The sequence below is a fragment of the Homo sapiens genome, chromosome 17 (genome assembly GCF_000001405.40).
Source record: "Homo sapiens chromosome 17, GRCh38.p14 Primary Assembly".
Taxonomy (NCBI): Eukaryota; Metazoa; Chordata; class Mammalia; order Primates; family Hominidae; genus Homo; species Homo sapiens.
This window is the reverse complement of record NC_000017.11, coordinates 75,844,650-75,866,222: the sequence shown is the minus strand read 5'-3', so window position 1 is coordinate 75,866,222 and position 21,573 is coordinate 75,844,650. Positions and strand designations below refer to the sequence as shown.

General features: G+C 53.5%; 1 protein-coding gene across 4 annotated transcripts, besides 10 other annotated features; it reads left to right on the top strand.

Moving 5' to 3' along the window:
* Positions 770-1,270: an enhancer, noted in NCBI's record as "H3K4me1 hESC enhancer chr17:73861034-73861534 (GRCh37/hg19 assembly coordinates)". NCBI's record gives its function as "activates a minimal SCP1, AML or CMV promoter by ChIP-STARR-seq in primed H9 embryonic stem cells {active_cell/tissue: H9 hESC(primed)}" and the evidence as "EXISTENCE:reporter gene assay evidence [ECO:0000049][PMID:30033119]".
* Positions 770-1,333: a biological region, named in NCBI's record as "H3K4me1 hESC enhancer GRCh37_chr17:73861034-73861534".
* Positions 1,174-1,333: an enhancer, noted in NCBI's record as "active region_12782". NCBI's record gives its function as "activates an Ori minimal core promoter by ATAC-STARR-seq in GM12878 lymphoblastoid cells {active_cell/tissue: GM12878}" and the evidence as "EXISTENCE:reporter gene assay evidence [ECO:0000049][PMID:35858748]".
* Positions 1,401-1,695: an enhancer, noted in NCBI's record as "tiled region #12387; K562 Activating DNase matched - State 5:Enh". NCBI's record gives its function as "activates a minimal TATA promoter and a strong SV40 promoter by Sharpr-MPRA in K562 cells {active_cell/tissue: K562}" and the evidence as "EXISTENCE:reporter gene assay evidence [ECO:0000049][PMID:27701403]".
* Positions 9,269-10,064: an enhancer, noted in NCBI's record as "H3K27ac hESC enhancer chr17:73852240-73853035 (GRCh37/hg19 assembly coordinates)". NCBI's record gives its function as "activates a minimal SCP1, AML or CMV promoter by ChIP-STARR-seq in naive H9 embryonic stem cells {active_cell/tissue: H9 hESC(naive)}" and the evidence as "EXISTENCE:reporter gene assay evidence [ECO:0000049][PMID:30033119]".
* Positions 9,787-20,524, top strand: WBP2 (WW domain binding protein 2). 4 transcript variants are annotated; one of them, NM_001348170.1, is made up of 9 exons: positions 9,787-9,961; positions 10,747-10,984; positions 14,547-14,655; positions 16,484-16,619; positions 17,561-17,653; positions 18,293-18,427; positions 18,614-18,736; positions 19,239-19,315; positions 19,436-20,524. In NM_001348170.1, the coding sequence occupies exons 2-9, from the start codon at positions 10,926-10,928 to the stop codon at positions 19,487-19,489; spliced, it is 786 nt and encodes a 261-aa protein (NP_001335099.1). In that variant the 5' UTR covers positions 9,787-9,961; positions 10,747-10,925; the 3' UTR covers positions 19,490-20,524. The 4 variants fall into 4 exon arrangements, with proteins under 4 accessions (NP_001335099.1, NP_036610.2, NP_001317428.1 ...); NM_012478.4 differs by lacking the exon at positions 9,787-9,961 and having other exon boundaries at positions 10,888-10,984; XM_047435712.1 differs by lacking the exons at positions 9,787-9,961; positions 10,747-10,984 and adding an exon at positions 11,079-11,099.
* Positions 10,133-10,302: a silencer, noted in NCBI's record as "silent region_8989". NCBI's record gives its function as "represses an Ori minimal core promoter by ATAC-STARR-seq in GM12878 lymphoblastoid cells {active_cell/tissue: GM12878}" and the evidence as "EXISTENCE:reporter gene assay evidence [ECO:0000049][PMID:35858748]".
* Positions 10,673-10,802: an enhancer, noted in NCBI's record as "active region_12781". NCBI's record gives its function as "activates an Ori minimal core promoter by ATAC-STARR-seq in GM12878 lymphoblastoid cells {active_cell/tissue: GM12878}" and the evidence as "EXISTENCE:reporter gene assay evidence [ECO:0000049][PMID:35858748]".
* Positions 20,880-20,969: an enhancer, noted in NCBI's record as "active region_12780". NCBI's record gives its function as "activates an Ori minimal core promoter by ATAC-STARR-seq in GM12878 lymphoblastoid cells {active_cell/tissue: GM12878}" and the evidence as "EXISTENCE:reporter gene assay evidence [ECO:0000049][PMID:35858748]".
* Positions 21,100-21,179: an enhancer, noted in NCBI's record as "active region_12779". NCBI's record gives its function as "activates an Ori minimal core promoter by ATAC-STARR-seq in GM12878 lymphoblastoid cells {active_cell/tissue: GM12878}" and the evidence as "EXISTENCE:reporter gene assay evidence [ECO:0000049][PMID:35858748]".
* Positions 21,410-21,569: a silencer, noted in NCBI's record as "silent region_8988". NCBI's record gives its function as "represses an Ori minimal core promoter by ATAC-STARR-seq in GM12878 lymphoblastoid cells {active_cell/tissue: GM12878}" and the evidence as "EXISTENCE:reporter gene assay evidence [ECO:0000049][PMID:35858748]".

Below are 21,573 nucleotides of genomic sequence, written 5' to 3'. Positions count from 1 at the left end.
AAATACTTTATGATTCCATTTATATATGAGGTCCCTAGAATACGATGGAGGTTGCCAGGGGCTGGGCAACAGGGAATGGGGAGTTGGTGTTTAATGGGGACAGTTTCAGTGTGGAATGATGATAAAGTTCTGGAGATGGATGGTGCTGATGGCTGCACAACAACGTATTCACTTAAAGCCCCTGAAGTGTACATTTAAAAATGGTTAAAATTGGCTGGGCGTGGTGGCTCACGCCTGTAAATCCAGCACTCTGGGAGGCCGAGGTGGGTGGATCACGGGGTCAGGAGATCAAGGCCAACATGGTGAAACCCCGTCTCTACTAAAATACAAAAAGTAGCTGGGTGTGGTGGCGGGCACCTGTAGTCCCAGCTACTCAGGGGGCTGAGGCAGGAGAATCACTTGAACCCGGGAGGTGGAGCTTGCAGTGAGCCGAGACTGCGCCACTGCACTCCAGCCTGGTGACAAAGCAAGATTCCGTCTCAAAAAAAAAAAAAAAAAAAAAAAGGTTATAATGGTGAATTTTATGTTATGTATATTTTACCACGCGTCCCCCCTCCCCTGCCAAAAAAAAAAAAAAAGAAAGAAAAGGACAGTGGCCATAAGAAGGAACCCTAATGGGGCTGGCAGAAGGCCATTTCTAGGGCTCATTTCCTTGAAGAAAGGACTGCTGAGGCCTGAAAGACAAGGAGGAGTTAACAAGACAGAAAGGATGGGTGTGGGCTCGAGACCAGCCAGGGCGCTGCAGGGGACAGCAGTGCAGGGCAGAAGGGTGAGAGGCCCGAGGTGGCAGGCCAGGTCCTGCAGAGCAGAGCCTGGTAAGGATTCTGGACTTTTCCTAGGAACAATGGGAAGCCAGGGCATGGTCTCACATGGGGAAACAGTACAATCAGATTTGAAGTTTCGGCTGGGCGCCATGGCTCACGCCTGTAATCCTAGCACTTAGGGAGGCTGAGGCGGGAGGATCACGAGCTCAGGAGTTCAGGGCCAGCCTGGGCAACATGGTGAAACCCCATCTCTACCAAAAATACAAAAAAAAAAAAAAAATTAGCCAGGCATGGTGACGCACACCTGGGATCTCAGCTACTCTGAAGGCTGAGGTATGAGGATTGCTTGAGCCCAGGAGGCATAGGTTGCGGTGAGCTGAGATCACACTACTGCACTCCAGCCTGGGTGACAGAGTGAGACCTCATTTCAAAAAAAAAAAAAGGGTTTGAAGTTTCAAAATCATTCTATTATTTAGGTGAGAGATAAGCTTAAGGAGGGGAAAAAGAGGATGAAAATGACTAAAACTGCCACCTTGCATCTTGCCAGGGAAGTGGAGAAGAGCCCCCTAACTCTGGGAAGGGGGACCAGAAATATAATAGCAGGGAGGGGCCAGGCCCTTAAGCACCTCCCCTGGTCCCTCCTCTCCTCCAGCTCTCTGGTGTAGAGGGGGGTCCCTCCAGCCAAGGCTCCTCAGTACTGGGATGCGGACATCTTCAGAGGTCACACCGCCCCTTTCTGGCTTTCTGTGGTTTTGGAGGCTCAGAAGCGGAAATGCACTCGAGGTGTGTATAAACACTCTAACAGCAGGAATTGCTCAGAACAGGCCTTGCAGCTGTGTCTGGGGAAACTGAACTTGACAGAGCCAGGAGGTCCCAGCGGGAACTTCAGGGTGGGGCCCATCTCTATAGCAACCAGAAACAGCCCCAGACACGCTCTGGCCCTGCTTCTGATGAGGGAGCGGGCAATTTGTGTTCTTGAAATACCCACGGCCAAAAAGGACTCATCCAAAATAGCCCACTTCCACGTCACCAAACATCACCAACGCCTCACAGGGCATCTGCCACTCCGCAGCAGAGCAACCAACGGTGAGTGGCAGAAAGTTACCAATGACTTACCAGGAGTTTTATTTTTCTCACTGGCGTATTAGAAAGAGGACAACTGGCTGAAAGAAAAAGACTTGGTGTATCAAGCACAAATTTGTTCCCCCAAACTCAGGTAAAAGAAATGTCCATTTGAGTAGTTTCCCTAAATCAAGTAAAATGTGATTATAGGCCAGGCACGGTGGCTCACGCCTGTAATCCCAGCACTTTGGGAGGCTGAGGCGGGCGGATCACGAGGTCAGGAGATCGAGACCATCCTGGCTAACACGGTGAAACCCTGTCTCTACTAAAAATACAAAAAATTAGCCGGGCGTGGTGGCGGGCACCTATAGTCCCATCTACTCGGGAGGCTGAGGCAGGAGAATGGCGTGAACCCGGGAGGCGGAGTTTGCAGTGAGTCGAGATGGCGCCACTGCACTCCAGCCTGGGCCATATAGAGCGAGACTCCGTCTCAAAAAAAAAAAATGTGATTATAAGCTGCCCTTTGCCAAGAAAGTAAGAAATTCAACTTCAGGCATATGGGGAGGGGCATCTTCCCCCTCAGTAGAATCACTATTATTATTATTATTATTATTATTATTATTATTATTATTATTATTGAGACGGAGTCATCCAGGCTGGAGCGTACAATCTTGGCTTACTGCAACCTCTGCCTCCCAGGTTCAAGTGATTCTCCTGCCTCAGCCTCCTGAGTAGCTGGGATTACAGGCGCCCACCACCATGCCTGGCTAATTTTTGTATTTTTAGTAGGGACAGGGTTTCACCATGTTGGCCAGGCTGGTCTCAAACTCCTGACCTAAGGTGATTGGCCCACTTCGGCCTCCCAAAGTGCTGGGATTACAGGCGAGAGCCACTGCACCTGGCATTATATGGTGATTCCATGGTGCCCAGGGGATGGGAGAGCTTTCTTCCCTGCACCAACTCTGTTGCTCAGGCTGGAGTGCAGTGGCACCATCTCAGCTCACTACAACCTCTGCCTCCTGGGTTCAAGTGATTCTCCTGCCTCAGCCTCCTGTGTAGCTGGGATTACAGGCGTGCGCTACCACGCCCGGCTAATTTTTGTATTTTTAGTAGAGACAGGGTTTCACCATGTTGGCCAGGCTGGTCTCGAACTCCTTGCTTCAAGTGATCCACCCACTTTGGCCTCCCAAGTGCTGGAATTACAGGCATGAGCCACCCCACCGGGGCCTCAGATGGGAGAGCCTCCACTCTGTTCTCCACTGGGTCTGCTGCTGCTCAGATGCCGACCGTCTGAGCCCAAGTGCTTCTATTTTTTATTTTTATTTTTATTTTTGAGACAGAGTCTCACTCTGTCACCCAGGCTGGAGTGCAATGGCATGATCTCGGCTCACCGCAACCTCTGCCTCCAGGGTTCAAGCAGTTCTCTCGCCTCAGCCTCCCAAGTAGCTGTGATTACAGGCGTGCGCCACCATGCCTGGCTAATTGTATATTTTTTAGTAAAGATAAGGTTTCTCCATGTTGGTCAGGCTGGTCTTGAACTCCCAACCTCAGGTAATCCACCCGCCTCGGCCTCCCAAAGTGCTGGGATTACAGGTGTGAGCCACTGCGCCCGGCTCCAAGGGCTTCTAGCTGCAGCTGAGGCCCCACTGCCCTGGGCCAAGCACATTTTGGGGATGATGCCAAACTCTTGACTCTTAGCTCCAAACCCACTATATTAATGCGCTGGGCTGTCGTAACAAGATACCACAAACCAGGCGGCTTCAACAATCAAAATGGGCCAGGTGCGGTGGCTCACGCCTGTAATCCCAGCACTGTGGGAGGCCGAGGCGGGCACATCACGAGGTCAGGAGATCGAGACCATCCTGGCTAACACGGTGGAACCCCCCCCGTCTCTACTAAAAATACAAAAAAATTAGCTGGGCGTGGTGGCGGGCGCCTGTAGTCCCAGCTACTCGGGAGGCTGAGGCAGGAGAATGGCGTGAATCCCGGAGGCGGAGCTTGCAGTGAGCTGAGATCGCGCCAGTGCACTCCAGCCTGGGCGACAGAGTGAGACTCCGTCTCAAAACAAACAAACAAACAAAAACAATCAAAATGTATTGTCTCAGTGCTGGAGACCGAAGTCTGGAATCAAGGTACGGGCAGGGTTGACTCCTTCTGAGGCTGTGAGAGCGAATCTGTCCCCTGACGCTCTCCTTGCTTCTGGTGGTTTGTTGACAATATGTAGCAATCCGTGTAGCAATCTTGGTAGCTCTCTGCCTCCCTCTTTGCACCGCCTGCCTTCTCCCTGCGTGTGTGTCTGTGTCCAAGTTTCTCCTTCTTACAAGGGCACCAGTCACGCTGGATTTAGGGCCCACCCTAATGATCTCATCTTAACTAATGATGTCTTCAACAACCCTATTTCCAAATAAGGTCACTTTCAGAGGTACTGCAGGTCAGGACTTCAACATGTGAATTTGAAGTCGGGGGGACCGAACTCAACTCATAACACCCACCCACCCAACTCAGCTTCATGGTCTGGCTGGGACTCAGAGCCACATGTCTTTGTTTTCTTAATTTTATTTTTTATTACTACTTTTTGAGATGAAGTCTTGCCCTGTCGCCCAGGCTGGAGTGCAGTGGTGCGATCTTGGCTCACTGCAAGCTCTGCCTCCTGGATTCCAGAGATTTTCTTGCCTCAGCCTCCTGAGTAGCTGGGACTACAGGCACACGCCACCACGCCCAGATAATTTTCGTATTTTTAGTAGAGATGGGGTTTCACCGTGTTGCCCAGGCTGGCCTCGAACGCCTGCCCTCAGGTGATCCACCTGCCTGGGCCTCCCAAACTGCTATGATTACAGGCATGAGCCAATGCACCCAGAGCCACGTTTCTCCATTGCCTGCTGCTCCCTGCCAGGCTCTGCCAAGAGGGGGCGCTAGAGAGGCCTGAAGGGCTGGAGAAGGCCCCAGCCTCCCATCTGCTCACTATTTTTGCCTGTATTGTACCCAGGAAAGCTTCTTCATTGGGGCAGCTGCAGTTCTTTAGCAGCAGCTGAATCCAGTTTCTACTTTTTCCAACCCTTGCAGAACCAGCTACCCTGAGCTCCCTTCAGAGGCACGGGCACCAGCACCAGCCGGCCCAGGCCCGCTCTTCAGAGGGCTGGGTTTTAGTACCCTGGGGCTCCTCTTTCAAGCTTCTGTATTATTGTTGATTTTGGTGTTTTGTTTTGTTTTTTGAGATGGGGGTCTCACTCTGTCACCCAGGCTGGAGTGCAATGGTGCGAACTCAGCTCACTGCAGCCTCTGCCTCCTGAGCGAAGCAATCCTCCCACCTCAGCCTCCTGAGTAGCTGGGACTACAGGTGCGCTCCACCACCCCCGGCTAACTTTTTGTATTTTTAGTAGAGATGGGGGCTTCACCATGTTGGCCAGGCTGGTCTCAAACTCCTGACCTCAAGTGTCCGCCGTGAGCCACCACGCCGGCAGCACTTTTTTTTTTTTTGAGTTTCACTCTTTTTGCCCAGGCTGGAGTGCAATGGCGCCATCTCGGCTCACTGCAACCTCCGTCTTCCAGATTCCAGCTATTCTCCTGCCTCAGCCTCCCGAGTAGCTGGGATTACAGGCTTGCGCCACCATGCCCGGCTAATTTTGTAGTTTTAGTAGAGACGGGGTTTCACCATGTTGGCCAGGCTGGTCTTGAACTCCTGACTCAGGTGATCTGCCCGCCTCGGCTTCCCAAAGTGCTGGGATTAGAGGTGCGAGCCACCGAGCCCGGCCCTTTCAGCAATTTTTTTTTTTTTTTTTGAGACGGAGTCTCACTCTGTCGCCGAGACTGGAGTGCAGTGGCTCGATCTCTGCTCACTGCAAGCTCCGCCTCCTGGGTTCACGCCATTCTCCTGCCTCAGCCTCCTGAGTAGCTGGGACTACAGGTGCTCACCACCACACCCGGCTAATTTTTTTGTATTTTTTTTTTTTAGTAGAGACAGGGTTTCACCGTGTTAGCCAGGATGGTCTTGATCTCCTGACCTCGTGATCTGCCTGCCTCGGCCTCCCAAAGTGCTGGATTTACAGGCGTCAGCAACTGCGCCCGGCTGCTTGCAGCAATTTTTTAAGATGACAAAATAAAACAGAAAATTTCAGAATATATCCCACTACAAAATACAAATTAAGCAGCATGTGGTGGTGGCAGGGCCTGTACTCTCAGCTACTTGGGAGGCTGAGGCAGGACCACTGCTTGATGCCAGGAGTTCAAGACCATCCTGGGCAACATAATGGAACCCCATCTCTACCAAAAAAATTTTTTAAACTAGCCAGGCATGGTGATGTGCACTTGTAGTCCCAGCTACTTAGGAGGCTGACGTAAAAAGATTGCTTGAGCCCGGGAGGTTGAAGGTGCAGTAAGCCATGACTGCACCACTCCAGCCTGAGTGACAATGTAAGACAGGGTCTCGCTCTGTCACCCAGGCTGGTCTCAAACTCCTGGGCTCAAGCCCTATATATTTTTACTGTGGGTCAAGGTAAGGAAAAACAGCCACCGTTTGGTAAATGCTGCCAACCTTTTTTTTTTTTTTTTTTTTTAAATTTTTAGAGGGAGGGTCTCACTATGTTGCCCAGGATGGTCTTAAACTCCTGGGCTGAAGCAATCCTCCTGCCTCAGTCTTCCAAAATGCTGGGATTACAGGCATGAGCCACCTCTACGGGCCTGCCAACCTCTTTTATGTCATGGCACACACAGAAAATGATTTGTTCAGTGAAAATGGTATTTATTTGGCTCACTGGGGCAAACAGATTCATCTTATTGGGAGTCAAGAGGCGACCAGGCGGGGGCGGTGGCTCATACCTGTAATCCTAACACTTTCGGGAGTGTTAGGTGGGCGGATGACTTGAGGTCAGGAATTTGAGACCAGCTTGGCCAACATGGTGAAACCCCATCTCTACTAAAAATACAAAGATTAGCTGGGCGTGGTGGCACGATTCTGTAGTCCCAGCTACTCTGGAGGCTGAGGCATGAGAATTGCTTGAACCCGGGAGGCGGAGGCTGCAGTGAGCAGAGATCATGTCAATGCACTCCACCCCAGGAGACGGGCAAGACCCTGTATCAAAAATAAATACATAAATAATAAATAAAATTATAAACAGAAAAAACAGGTGACCAGTTCAGGGGCTCAGCTGCCCCAGACCTTGCCTGCTGGTATCTGAGGCCAACCTGCACTCCTCCTTAGCGCACCGCTAAGATGTGCTCCAGTGTGGAGAATATGAGCATCATACTGCAGTGAAAAAGAGATCTGGAGACAGGCAGACAGGAGTATGAGGCCAGAGGAGAGGTCTGAGTACTGAGACCTGGGCCCAGGGGAGCCTCCTGCTGCTCACCTGGTTCAGCAATAAACCATTGTTGAAGTCTTCGGTTTGAGTTTTGAGTTCTGGTACGTTCCAGCCCCAAAGTCATGGGAGCCGCCCAGGAAGTGTGTTCACATGGTCATATGTTTTTGTAAAACTTAGAAATTCTGGACATTGTAGCCGGAGCTGGTCAAGCTTGTTATCTCTGCACTGCAACTTCCTCTTCTTGTCATTTCCCCTCCTGTCAGGAGGCCTCACTGTAGCCACAGTATTGTGAATGAATAATTGTGGGGTTGTTTTTTTTTTTTGAGTTAGAGCTTTCCTCTCGTTGCCCAGGCTGGAGTGCAGTGGCTTGATCTCAGCTCACTGCAACCTCCGTCTCCAGGGTTCAAGCGATTCTCCTGCCTCAGCCTCCCGAGTAGCTGGGATTACAGGTGACCGCTACCACACCCAGCTAATTTTTTGTATTTTTAGTAAAGACGGGGTTTCACCACGTTGGCCAGGCTGGTCTCAAATTCCTGACCTCAGGTGATCCACCTTCCTCAGCCTCCCAAAGTGCTGGGATTACAGGCATGAGCCACTGCGCCCGGCCTGTGTATTTTATTTCTTAAAAAGAGCCTCCAGATCACTTGAGTCCAGGAGTTCCAAGGAAGCAGTGAGCTATGATCGCACCTGGGTGACAGAATGAGACCCTGTCTCAAAAAACAAAAACATAAACAACCAAGACAGCCTCCAAAATTGTATAAGCTTCAAGGCCTGGCAAAACCTGAACTTGCTCCTGTCTCCAACGTATTTGGCAAAGGGGTGGGAGAGGGGTGGGCAGGTTGTCCCCATCTTCCCATTTATGGTCCTTAGAGCAGCCAATGCTGCCTGCTCTTTGCTGGGGGGATTTTCCTTTTTTTCTTTTTCTTTTCTTTGAGACAGAATCTTCCTTTGTTGCCCAGGCTGGAGTGCACTGGGACGATCTTGGCTCACTGAAACCTTCGCCTCTCAGGTTCAAACAATTCTCATGTCTCAGCCTCCCTATTAGCTGGGATTACAGGAACCACGCCACCATGCACAACTAATTTTTGTATTTTTGCGTTTTTTTTTTTTTTTTTGGGATGGAGTTTTGCTCTTGTTGCCCAAGCTGGAGTGCAATGGCGTGATCTCGGCTCACTGCAACCTCCACCTCCCAGGTTCAAGGGATTCTCCTGCCGCAGCCTCCCGAGTAGTTGGGATTACAGGCGCGCGGATTACAGGCGCTTACAGGCGCACAACACCACACCCGGCTAGTTTTTGGTATTTTTTAGTAGAAACGGGGTTTCTCCATGTTAGCCAGCTGGTCTTGAACTCCTGACCTCAGGTAATCCGCCGACCTTGGCCTCCCAAAGTGCTGGGATTACAGGTGTGAGCCACCGCGCCCGGCCTAATTTTTGTATTTTTATAGAGATGGGATTTTGCCATGTAGTCCAGGCTGGTCTCAAACTCCTGGCCTCAAGTGATCCACCCACCTTGGCCTCCCAAAGTGCTGGGATTACAGGCACGGCACCAGGCCTGGATTTTGCTTTTCTTTTTCTTTTTTCTGAGATGGAGTCTTGCTCTGTCGCCTAGGCTGGAATGCAGTGGCATGATCTTGGCTCACTGTAACATCTGCCTCCCAGGTTCAAGCGATTCTCCTGCCTCAGCCTCCCGAGTAGCTGGGATTACAGGTGCCCGCCACCATGCCCGGCTAATTTTTGTATTTTTAGTAGAGATGGAGTTTCACCATGTTGGCCAGGCTGGTCTTGAACTCCTGACCTCAGGTGATCCACCTGCCTTGGCCTCCCAAAGTGCTGGAATTTGGCTCACGCCTTTGGCGTGAGCCACAAACCCCGGCCTGCTTTTCTTTTTTAAATTTACATATTATTTATTTATTTTTATTTTATTTTATTTTGAGATGGAGTCTCACTCTGTCACCCAGGCTGGAGTGCAGTGGCGCAATCTCAGATCACTGCAAGCTCTGCCTCCCGGGTTCACGCCATTCTCCTGCCTCAGCCTCCCAAGTAGCTGGGACTACAGCCGCCCGCCACCACGTCCGGCTAATTTTTTTTTTTTTTTTGTATTTTTAATAAGGGGTTTCACTCTGTTAGCCAGGATGGTCTCGATCTCCTGACCTCGTGATCCGCCCGCCTCGGCCTCCCAGAGTGCTGGGATTACAGGCGTGAGCCACGCGCCCGGCCTAAATTTATATTTTAAACGCACATAGGAAAAAAAAATTAAACAGTACCAAAGAGTACAATGCATACTGACATACCGAGTCACCAATCCACCCCAAATTCCTAGACCCATGTCTCAAAAATGCCACAGACATTTTCTGATGGATCTTTGCAAAAATTTTCTATCTAGATCCTATTTTTTATACAAATACAACTATATGTATACAGCATTCTGTGCTTAATAACCCTTGATGATCTTCCCATATCAGCACATAGTCTGACTTAATTCTTTTTAAAGACTGCAGAGATTGCAGGCGCCAAAATACATCTAACCATTGGGGCAGATTTCATTATGACTATCCTTAACCCACTGTACTTGTCCCGCAAGGTCCAACCTGGTATTGCACAGGACCTCACAGAACGCTGCTGTTTCCTGATCTTTTCTAGTGAGGCAGCTTTGTTTCTTCACATAGGAGACCTCCCTGGAAAGCGAAGTCAAGCAGGTGGATCTAGAGGTTGGCCACCACAGTCAGGAAAGCAGCTGTCTACTGAAAAGCAAACTCTAATTCCTTAACATTAACGAGTACCGGAACTACCACGTGGGAAGTGCAGCCCCCTCTCTCCGCCTCACGGATTCAGCTCGGAGGTGCAGGGGTTTGGTGGGGGGCGGTTAGGGAATGACAGCTGCCCCGTGGAGGACGCCCAGGGCTGGGTCACGAGCTGACAGGAGTCAGCCTTATTCTGTAAATCCTAGTTATCAGGATGCCGGTTTCGCGCCGTGCCCAGTCCCACTCAGCCTTCAGTCTTCCGGCCGGGACCCCGCTGGGCGCTAAGGGGGGAGCGGCGCCACCGCGAGGCCGGAGAGGGGGCTGCGAGGGGCGCCCGGCCGGCCTGCGAACGTGGTGGGAGCCAGGCGGGGCACACGGCCTCCCCTTCCCATGAGGGACTCTCCCCGCCCCCCGGGCTCAGCGCTGGGAGTGGTGAGATGGATGGCGGGGTGATCCGACGCCGCCAGCCCACCGCGTCCCCAAGAGCCGGGGCCTCCGGCTCAGCTAAACGCCCCAGAGTCACGCATGCGCCCCATAAACGTCTGCTGAGTGAACGAAAGCTCCCCATCCACAAGGGGACAGCTCGGCGCTCCCACGCCATGTCCAGGTCGCATTCGACCAGCAGGACTTCCCTTAACGCGCTGCCGGAGTCCCCAAGATCGCGCCCCTGCCAGGAGCGGAACTGTTTATTTCCGTCCGGCTGAAGAGGCGGGGTGGGGATGGCACAAGCCGATTGGTTACGCAAAATGTGGAACCAATTCAGGCCTATGATCCAGGAGACTACAAGTTCCAGAATGCATCCTTCCTCCAGCATAGGGACAGGCCGAGGCTGCGGGGGCGTTGCCTGCTGGGAATTGTAGTCTTCATCTTGTTTGTTGCGCAGGAGGAACTGGAAGGAGGGAGTAAACTATTACCACGTGACGTTCGGGTCAGGTGTTTGGGCCAGCCTCCGCACTCGAGCTTTGATTGGCTGACTCTAATAAGAAGACGCCACTAGGGGCGGGGCGAAGAGGGGCGCAAGCTCATTGCGTTTTGAGTCTCGGGACCCCTGTTGGAGAGACTATGGCGCTCAACAAGAATCACTCGGAGGGCGGCGGAGTGATCGTCAATAACACCGAGAGGTGAAAACACTGCGGAAGGATCCTGGAGGACCAAAGTTCGGGTGTCGAGGAAGTGGGCGGTGGGTGGTGGGTGGTGGGGAATAAGCCCCTGAAGAGGGAGCACTGATGGAGTGAGGTTGGTGGGGAACGGCTGGGGGCGGGGTTGGAGGAAGGTGGGTGGGCCGTGGGGGAGAGCCCGGGAGGTTGTGATCAGCTGGGAGGCGGGGGTGGGACGTCTGCATGGGGACCTGGTATGGGGCCCCCGGTGGGGCCTAGGGGTGATTCTTGAACCCCTTCCCAGACTTGTGATTTCAGTAGCTGGGAGGAGCCCCAAACAAAAATAATTGTCACTTATTGGATGTCTACAACGTTACTACGTGTCAGGCTCTGCGCCTTTTCTACCTTATTTAATAAATTCTGTGCAGTATAATCTACTACTGTCCACATTTCACAGGTAGGGAAAGTGGAGGGCAGAAAGGTTAAGTAACTTGCCCGAGATCGCAACTGTGTAAGTAACAGAGGTGGTAATTCCAGGAAAGGAGTCTTGACTCCAAAGTTAATAGGATTAACCACCAGCATACAGGCTTCCAGTATGTTCCAGAACTGTTCAGGTTCCCGGTAAAAAACTGAGGTCCCAGAGGTGAAATTAAACAGATGACGTTTGTCAGGTGTCTAACAGTTCCTGGCACTGTGTGGGTCCGTAGTCATTCCCTTGCCTCTCTCTTGAATGCCTGTTGGTTTGGGTCACCTCGGAAGGCAGAGCTCTCCTAATTCAAGGTTCTTTCCACTCCATCCTCCCCACCCCTTGCTCATTGCATCCTGTCTCTCCTCCAGTCTCTGCCAAGAGAAGCCTTAAATGGCCTCTGTCTCCTTTTGTTCCTTGGGTATTGAAAATCAGACCAGCCAGCCCTGGGTTGAACTATGCCGACCCTGAATTGCCTCTTGAAGGCAGAAGGAGCTTAGGAGGCACCTGAGTCCCCAAAGGAGACATCGTGGAGTCAGAGCCCTGTACCCAGCTAAGGCCAGCATCCAGCTGCCCTGTGACTTGGGAATGTTTGATGAGTCAGAGGAAAATGCCTAGAGTGACCCAGCATGCTCACTTTCCCTCTATCTTACCCGCTCAGAGTTTCATGGGCCCAGCCTGTTGCTGGTAATTCCTTCTTTTCTCTGAGCAGTACTTCTCTTCTCTTTTTTTTTTTTTTTTTTTTTTTTTTTTAGATGGAGGCTTGCTCTGTCGCCCAGGCTGGAGTGCAGTGGCACGATCTCAGCTCACTGCAACCTCCGCCTCCTGGGTTCAAGCGATTATCCTGCCTCAGCCTCCCCAGTAGTTGGCATTACAGGCACCCGCCACTACACCCAGCTAATTTTTTGTATTTTTAGTAGACATAGGGTTTCACCATGTTGGGCAGGCTGGTCTCGAACTCCTGACCTCGTGATCCACCCTCCTCGGCCTCCCAAAGTATTGGGATTACAGGAGTGAGCCACCGCGCCCAGCCATTTTCCTTTGCTTATACCAGTTGTTTCCCACTTACCCTTCCCCAGTCAGAGAAAGTTGTGATATATGGGGGGAGGCAGAAGACAAACAGAACCGTGTGAACCTTTTTATCATGTAATCAGAGACACCTCACACTGTTTTGTTGCATCTCTGTGTGTGAGTCAGTTCCCAGGCCTGGCCAGCTTTTCGTGCCATTTGGCAACATCTCTGGGGACTGTTTTTCTTTCTGTCTCTGTGGAACTTTCTGAGACAAGAATGTATCTATCCTGCTCGGCCTTCTACCTGGCTTAGGGCTCAGTCCTGCTAAGTAAGGTGTGCCTTCAGCCTGCTGTTTTAGAAAGTGCTTCAGCCTGCTGTCTGAAAAAGTTGTATCTATAACAATTGAAGTGTTAAGTCCAGTGTCCAAAATTTGATAATTAGGCTGGGCATGGTGGCTCACGCCTGTAATCCCAGCACTTTGGGAGGCTGAGGTGGGTGGATCACTTGAGGTCAGGAGTTTGAAACCCGCCTGACCAACATGGTAAAACCTCGTCTCTACTAAACACAAAAAATTAGCCAGGCGTGGTGGCGCATGCCTGTAATCCCAGCTACTTGGAAGGCTGAGACAGGAGAATCGCTTGAACGCAGGAGGTGGAGGTTGCAGTGAGCTGAGATCACGCTATGTTGCACTGCAGCCTGGGCAACAAGAGTGAAACTCCGTCTCAAAAAAATAAAAAATTATAATTAAAATAGTGAACGTTACTCTTCAAGTCGTGAACTCCTTTGACAATGATGAAAGCTGTGGACTCTCCTCCCAGAAAAATGCACATATGACATACGTGATCATCTCAAGGGCTTCATGGACTTTCCTGCAAACCCCGCTTAAGAACCCAGGTTTAAAAGAACCCCGAAGGACGTCCTATTGTGATCTGTACAGTCATCTCTTAGACATGTTTATATTTTAGGCTTGAAAAACAAACCAGCAAAAACAGAACATCTATCACAAGGACTTAAAAGAAAATAGAAGAGTTGGCCGGGCGCAGTGGCTCACGCCTGTAATCCCTGCACTTTGGGAGGCCGAGGCAGGTGGATCACGAAGTCAGGAGATCGAGACCATCCTGGCTAACACGGTGAAACCCCGTCTCTACTAAAAATACAAAAAATTAGCCAGTCGTGGTGGCGGGCGCCTGTAGTCCCAGCTACTTGGGAGACTGAGGCAGGAGAATGGCATGAACCCAGGAGGCGGAGCTTGCAGTGAGCCGAGATCACGCCACTGCACGCCAGCCTGGGTGACAGAGTGAGACTCCGTCTCAAAAAAAAAAAAAAAAAATAAAGAAAATAGAAGAGTTAAGCCAGATTATCTAACTTGCTTGAGGGATGATGGCCTCTTCAGAGCCCTGTAGCTCTGCTACCATGTTGATCATTTGGGGGCTTTATAAGCGGGGTTTGGGAAATTTTACAGAACCCCCAACCTGCTCATTTCTTCCATGGCTATATTAATGGGTTTTTTTGTTGGTTTTTAGTTTTTTTGTAGAGATGAGGTCTCACCATGTTGCCCAGGCTGGTCTCAAACTCCTAGGCTCAAGCGATTCACCCGCCTCAGCCTCCCAAAGTGCTGGGATTACAGGTGTGGGCCACTGCGCCTGGCCCTATGAATGGCTTTATTTATTTATTTGTTTTTGAGACAGAGCTTCTCTCTTGTTGCCCAGGCTGGAGTTCAGTGGCGCCATCTCAGCTCACTGCAACCTCTGCCTCCTGGGTTCAAGCGATTCTCCCGCCTCAGCCTCCTGACTAGCTGGGATTACAGGTGCCCGCCACGGTGCCTGGCTAATTTTTTTGTATTTTTAGTAGAGATGGGGTTTCACCATGTTGGCCAGGCTGGTCTCAAACTCCTGACCAGGGGTCATCCGCTCGCCTCGGCCTCCCAAAGTGCTGGGATTACGGGCGTGAGCCACCGCGCCCAGCCCTATGAATAGTTTTAATGCCGCACTATTGAGAGGTTATGAGAGCTGACGTGCCGGGCAGCTGCTTGGGAGAAAGGCCCAGTGTCTGGGTGACGTCGCGTCTCCATACTGTCTCATTGAGGCTTTTCCTCTTTTCTCATCACAGCATCCTAATGTCCTATGATCACGTGGAACTCACATTCAATGACATGAAGAACGTGCCAGAAGCCTTCAAAGGGACCAAGAAAGGCACTGTCTACCTTACCCCTTACCGGGTGAGTTGCACAGCAGGGCAGTTGGTTGAGAGGCTTGTTGCTGTTGGAGGTGACGTGAGTCTTAGTCTCAGGTCTGCCTCAGCCTCATGAGTCAGGTGGCCTCTGAATCCTGGTGAGTGTTAGTGCTTCACTCTGCCTGTTTCTCTGTCACATGCTCCTGGATTCCAGAATCACCAGGCTCTTTGTGTAACTGACCTGACCACTGGGCAGTGAACCCATGTCAATTCCAGAGCCGCTGCTGCAAAATCTCTATAGAGTTGGATGCAGCCGCTGGCATGACTTGGGCCTGGAGGCCAGACTATTATTATTAATATTTTGTTTTCTGTGAGAGTAGCCCATGAAGCCCTGTGTGTATCCAGAGTGAGAAATCCAGTAAACAGGGTACAGTTGCATGGCACGGCCTCCGGACTGGGCAGAGAGCCCGGTACCACCCCGCAGAATGACAAATGCCAGGCTGCAGAATGGGCCCTGCCTGAGAGTTACCCACGTGGACTCTGAGAGGTTGAGAAATACAAATGGATGTTCTTGGAAAAGGATTGCTGCCTGTGGCTACTCAAGATTTAGACTCAAAGACAGGCTGGTGCGGAGGCTCATGCCTGTAATCCCAGCACTCTGGGAGGCCAAGGTAGGCAGGCCACTTGAACTCAGGAGTTCGAGACCAGCCTGGGCAACATGGCAAAACCCCATCTCTACAAAAAATACAAAAATTAGCTGGGTGTGGTGGCACATGCCTCTAGTCTCAGCTACCCGAGAGGTAAGGTGGAGAATAACTGGAGCCTGGAGAGGTTGAGGCTGCAGTGAGCTGGGATCATGCCACTGGATTCTAGCCTGGGCAACAGAGTGAGACCCTGCCTAAAAAAAAAAGACTTAGACTCAAAGACAGCTGGAAGAAGAGGAGCACATTTTCAAGTTTTAATCTCCATGACTTCACAAAGACAGGAGAGTCTCAAAACCCCATCTCTGGAGGCTCAACTTGGCACCTTCAGTCACAGATAAAAGTCGTGGGTTTAAAACCCTGGCTGGGGCCGGGTGCGGTGGCTCATGCCTGTAATCCCAGCACTTTGGGAGGCCGAGGCGGGCGGATCATGAGGTCAGGAGATCGAGACCATCCTGGCTAACACGGTGAAACCCCATCTCTCCTAAAACTACAAAAAATTAGCCGGGCATGGTGGCGGGCACCTGTAGTCCCAGCTACTCAGGAGGCTGAGGCAGGAGAATGGCGTGAACCCGGGAGGCGGAGCTTGCAGCGAGCCAAGATCGCGCCACTGCACTCCAGCCCAGGCAACAGAGTAAGACTCCATCTCAAAAAAAAAAAAAGAAAAGAAAAGAAAAAATAAAACCCAAGGGTTTCTCCAGGCACAGGCTCCAGGAGAGCTCTTGTTGCTGTTTATAGCCCCCCTCAATGGGAGCTAGCGACCTACTGCACCATCATTCTCAGTTCTGGAGAGTTCAGGCTGGAGACCCCCCTCTTTCAGGAACCCATCCCTGCCTTGCCTCTGCCTGTCCTTCCCTAGCTTCGTAGGCCCCTTCACTTAGGCAACACTGCCACCACCCCACCACGTCAGTGACAAAGCAGTCTGCCCTGCTCATAGATACTATCTGTGACCAGCACGTTTTTCTCCCGTGTGCGTGAGCTTGGCCTCTCCAGGCTGCGGTGAGCCCTTTCCCTTTCCAAAGCTCTCTCCAGGAGTGTCTGGCACAGAGAGAGCCATGGGGCTGCTGGACCCTGGCACTGGGAGAGGATTCGTCACTCCCAGGAAGCAGGCGGGAAGCATGGCAGCGTGGGCTGTGCTTCTAGTACTGATGGCCTCACCCTCTCTCCCTGCAGGTCATCTTTCTGTCCAAGGGCAAGGATGCCATGCAGTCCTTCATGATGCCATTTTATCTCATGAAAGACTGTGAGATCAAGCAGCCCGTATTTGGTGCAAACTACATCAAGGGAACAGTGAAGGCGGAAGCGGGAGGTAGGTGATGGGAACTCAGGGACACGCATGGGGCCTGCAGGGAGGTGTCCTGGGAACCTCTGACTGCCGCCGTGGGGGCGTCCCCTTCAGACCCTTATCGCCCTAGCCATGACCTCTTCCCAGCTCTGGGCTGCCAGCTGGTGGGGTTTGATTGCCAAGAGGTGGGGAAAATGCTGGCATGAAAGACAGCAGCTCAGATCAGCTTTTCAGAGCGTGAAGTCTGCAGAAGCCTGCGGACTGAGTCAAGATGCTTAGTGCAACTTGGCGAGCGCATACAAATTTTAGACTCAGGAAGGAGCTGCATCAGGTTCTTGAGAGGGGCCTTTTCATGAGAGCCAGGAAGAGGCAGCTGCCTCTGGGAAGCCAGAGTCACCCTGCTTTGGGGCTGGCTTTTTGGCAGGCCCCAGAGACCTCTGCATTGAACTTGCCTTCCCCTTGACACCCAGCCAGGCCCGCCCTTGCTATTGAGACACTCTTGGTCCCCCTTTGGGCAGAAGCCAGGCTAGAGGGGCCGGAGTCTGTCCTTGGGCCCCCTTAGGACGAGAGGTCTGCTCTGAATTTTAAGGTCGGCTGTTGCTGAGTGGGCTTGTTCCTGTGAAGCTGCCGAGTGCTTGACTGGGGGCGGAGAGAAACCTTGATGTGGCCTTGGCACCCGTGTACATATTGGGCCAAGGGTGGGAGGACAGGCTTGTTCCAGGAAGGAGAGGCCATTGTTCCAAAGGGGGAAGCGAGTACAGCAGGGCCAGGCCAGGCTGCAGTGCTGGCTCCTATGCAGGCAGCAGGCTGGAAACCATGGCACCAGGAAGTCCCCATCACAGTGCAGGCCCAGCCCCCGCAGGCCTCCCGGGCGTTGGATGAAGTCCTGGAGAGGAAAACAGCCATCTCTTTGGGCATAAGTTTTCTTTTCCTGTGCTGTTTATTCACTGTCCTTCCCCTTTCAGGTGGCTGGGAAGGCTCTGCTTCCTACAAGTTGACTTTCACGGCAGGGGGCGCCATTGAGTTCGGACAGCGGATGCTCCAGGTGGCATCTCAAGGTATCCAGGCTCCGAAGATTAGGGGCTAAAGACACACTAAACATGTAGGGGTTTGGTATGAGTTTGCTTCCTTTTCGTTTTGCTTTTTCAAGAACTCAAGAGGTAAGTGTTTGGGCACCAGGCTGACCAGGCCTAGGAGTTGGGAAGGAAAGCTGTCATTGGCATCAGCTCTGTCCTGTACCTCAGAGACTGCGTTTCCCTGCCTGGGGCAGGTGGATGACGTTTTGACAAAGCTGTTTGGACTCAAGGACACTTTACTATGGCCTCATAAAACAAACACTAAACCAACCATTCGACTGCGGTTCCGCAGCCATTGAAAATGACCGAGGGATGGGCCAGCAGACATCCTCCGCCAGCTCACTCCTACCCCAGCCCTGAGCCTCCCTCCCGGCCTCTGTCCACCCTCCAGCCTTGCCCTTGACCTCCCTTGCCTTCCCCTGGCTCTGACCTCTCCCGTCCTCTCTCATCCCTGACCAAGGTGGCCCCCCGAGTATGGGTGGAGGGTGGAGTGGGATGGACAGAGGATGTCTGCGGGGCACATTCCTGAGACCCAGTAGCTCCCATCTGCAGGCAGCGGGGCTGCCCTCTCCCCGCCCCAAGGCAGGCCACGCTCATTTCTCTTTCCCCTTGTACTCGTAGCCTCCAGAGGTGAAGTCCCCAGTGGAGCCTATGGCTACTCTTACATGCCCAGCGGGGCCTATGTCTATCCCCCGCCAGTCGCCAATGGAATGTACCCCTGCCCTCCTGGCTACCCCTATCCACCGCCCCCACCTGGTGAGTGTGTCCTTTGCTGCCCCCACTCCCCTCATGAGCCCACCTACCCAGGCTCCCCCCAGGCCAGGGAGACTTTATTCCTTGAGCTGCTTCAGGACCAACGAAGGAGCTGGAGAGGCCCCCCTCACCCGGGAGGGGGCCGCAGCCGGGTGCTCACCATGTCCTTGTTACTCTCTCACCGAGCAGAGTTCTATCCAGGACCCCCCATGATGGACGGGGCCATGGGATACGTGCAGCCCCCACCACCGCCCTACCCTGGGCCCATGGAACCTCCGGTCAGCGGCCCCGATGTCCCCTCCACTCCTGCAGGTGAGGGCCCTTGGGTGCTGGCAGCCCTTCGGGACCAGCCCTCTCCTCCCCGATGTCGCACAGAGAGCCTCAGAATGGCCAGAGACTGCTGAGAGCCGCAGATGATGGATGACCCCTGGACTACCCCAGGGGCCCAGCAGGGCTGTGGCCTGGTGGAGCGGAGCTAGATTCTGGCCCCACCCCCATCCCTTAGCTATCCATGTGCCCTGGGCGGGGAAGGTCACCCTGTGTGCCTCTCGATCCTCTCATCTACACTCAGCTGGTCGGTCACAGTGGCACCTGGGGCATTGGCTCAAGGATTAGATGAGGTGAGACATGCGATGGGCCTGGAAAGGACCGTGCCAGCGCGTGGCATGTGCTCAGGAAACCTCACCTGCTGCTCTCATTGGTGGAACTGGACCCCCAGCACCAGCTGCCCCGAGCCATGGGGGCCCGGGGTCTCTTAGCTGAGCTCAGGGGGAGGAGAACTTGTCACCGACACCAGGTGTGTTTGCTCTCACAGCCGAAGCCAAGGCCGCAGAAGCAGCCGCCAGCGCCTATTACAACCCAGGCAATCCTCACAACGTCTACATGCCCACGGTGAGAGGGCTTGGCAGTGCCGGTGCAGCCCCACAGCCGCAGATGCTGGGAGCCGCAGGGGGATGACCGCACCATGTTTTAAACCTTCTAATGCAAGTCTCTCCTTTCTCCCTTCTTTAGAGCCAGCCGCCGCCACCTCCCTACTACCCACCGGAAGATAAGAAGACCCAGTAGGCCCTCCTGCCTCCCTGCCTCCCACCCTCATCTCTCTACCCTACCCCTCCCATCGGGGCTGTGCTGGGGCTTGGGGAGGGGAGGGGGCGCCTTGTTCTCCCTCCAGGTCTGATCATAAACAATTACCAGGAACTAGCATTGTGGGACATTAGGGCCCCCGGCCTCGGGAGAGGTGCCGCCCAGCTTCCCATGCCAGCCCGGAGCCCACAGTGCTGCCCAGCGTACCTCCCTCACCGTCTGGGGCTCTTCTGGGAGCACGGAGCATCCCCTGTTCCTGTTTCACTCTCAGCTTCTCCCCTCGAAGGGACTCTCTGGCCACCTCCTCCACCGCAGTCCAGCTCCCTCAGTCTGGCACCCACTGCTACACTCAGCCTCATGAGCCACTTCAGACCAGCCAGGTGTCTTCCCGGGCCCTGCCAGACCCTGCTCACATTCCCTCTGCTGGTCTGTGCTGGTCTCAGAAGGCCACCGCGCCCGCATTCCACTCAGCCAGGGTCCAGCTGCAGCCCCCGCCACCCTTCCTTCCCTTCCCTGTCCTGGGTCATGTTGTTGCCACCCTGTGTGACTTTTGAAGCTGTAAAATGAGCTTCCAGGGCTTGGGTGGCGTCGGGGCAGGGCCGCCGAGGCTGGGAGGAAGCCCTTCTGCCTTTTGCTGGTGTTTCTGGAATTTGCTTTCCCTCACCTCTCACTTCCTTCTAGAAGGAGCTTCCTGACTGGAACCAGAGAATGCATGTCTGTCCACTTGGTGGCTGCTGGGTGGGGCCGGGAACAAGGGCCCCTGACCCTGTGTGCTGGCCGGGACCTGCCACCAGCCCCCCAGCCTGCTTCTTCCCCTTAAGCTTTGTGCCCCTGGATGCGCTAACATTCACTCTTGTTTGTCCCTGGACTGGCCATGAAGTGAGGAGATGGTTATTTAAAGAGAATTCCCTATTTATTTGACAAAAAATCCAGTTAATATATTAATGTGAAATAAACCCTGTTTGCACCTCGATTTGTTTGCTGAAAATGTGAAATAGTAAAAATGAAATAACTGGACCCTTTCTGGCTCTGCGTGTGGTGACCCGGGGGTCTCTTCCGGAAGGAGAGCCGTCTGGCCGCTGAGGGCCCTGGAGACTTCTGGGACGGTTCCCTCCCATGGGAGGATCCCCATTCTCACGGCCCAGCCAGCCTGTCTGGTCCCCAAGACAGCTCTGGCCTCTGGAGCTGGTTCTTAACGGTTGTCGCTCAGCAGCTGTGTCCCTCCCCCACTGAGTCCCCAGGGCCTGGCTGGGACAGAGGTGGATGTGGCCCAGAGTTGGCCTTGAAGGGAGGAGTTGGGGCTGCCACCTTGTCCCCTGCTGGCTCCTCGAGGAATGGCAGCCCTGGCCTAAGTCCTGGTTGCTGGAGGGAGGAGGCCGAGTCAGCCCTGGAGCACGTCAGGACCTGTGACAGGGACACTGAGGTAGCCAAGCCGGCTTGCCACCACCCACGTCACGTGCCCTGCTGTGAACTTGAAGGGACAGGAGGGTGGGAAATGGCCAAAGGCCGTGACCAGGCCCACACGCCCGCAAGTCCCCCAGCCCAGCACTGGGCACAGGGTGGGCAGGCCACAGAGCTCTAGGAAAGCCCCATGCTGAGGCGCATTTTCCTGTCCCCCGGGAGCCAAGTCTGTCCTCAGGAGAGATCGGGCAGCAGCCCCTCTGCCTCCTCCTCCTGGCCAGCCTGGCCCAGAGCTCTCTGGGACTTGGCTAAGCCCCCTTCAAGGGTGTCTGAAGGGAGCACTGTCCTGACTGCCAAGGTGGGGGCAGGGGCACAGGGCTGTCCCTGCCCAGCACAGCTTGGCCCCGTCATCTCCAAGGAATGTCACCTGTGGGGCCAGGCAGGCTGAGCAACTGGCTGTCCTCCAGGGAGACGCCTCTTGGGAGCCCCCACCCTGGGCGCCACCACACCCCACCCCACCCCGCCCCGCCCCACGTCTGGACGCACTCGAGGAAGTGGGGTGAGAACCCCCCCGGGCCCAGGTCAGCTTCTCTCAGGGTTCAGCCCAGCCTGGGCACAGCACATGGATGGGGCAGGATGCTGCCCGCCTGTTCTGGGCCCCCCCG

Coding starts and splice junctions, on each gene's coding strand:
- WBP2 (NM_001348170.1), top strand. CDS start 10,926: ATGGCGCTCAACAAGAATCACTCGGAGGGCGGCGGAGTGATCGTCAAT. Junction 17,654..18,292: donor GCTCCAGGTGGCATCTCAAG/GTATCCAGGCTC, acceptor TTGTACTCGTAG/CCTCCAGAGGTGAAGTCCCC. Junction 19,316..19,435: donor ACAACGTCTACATGCCCACG/GTGAGAGGGCTT, acceptor TCCCTTCTTTAG/AGCCAGCCGCCGCCACCTCC.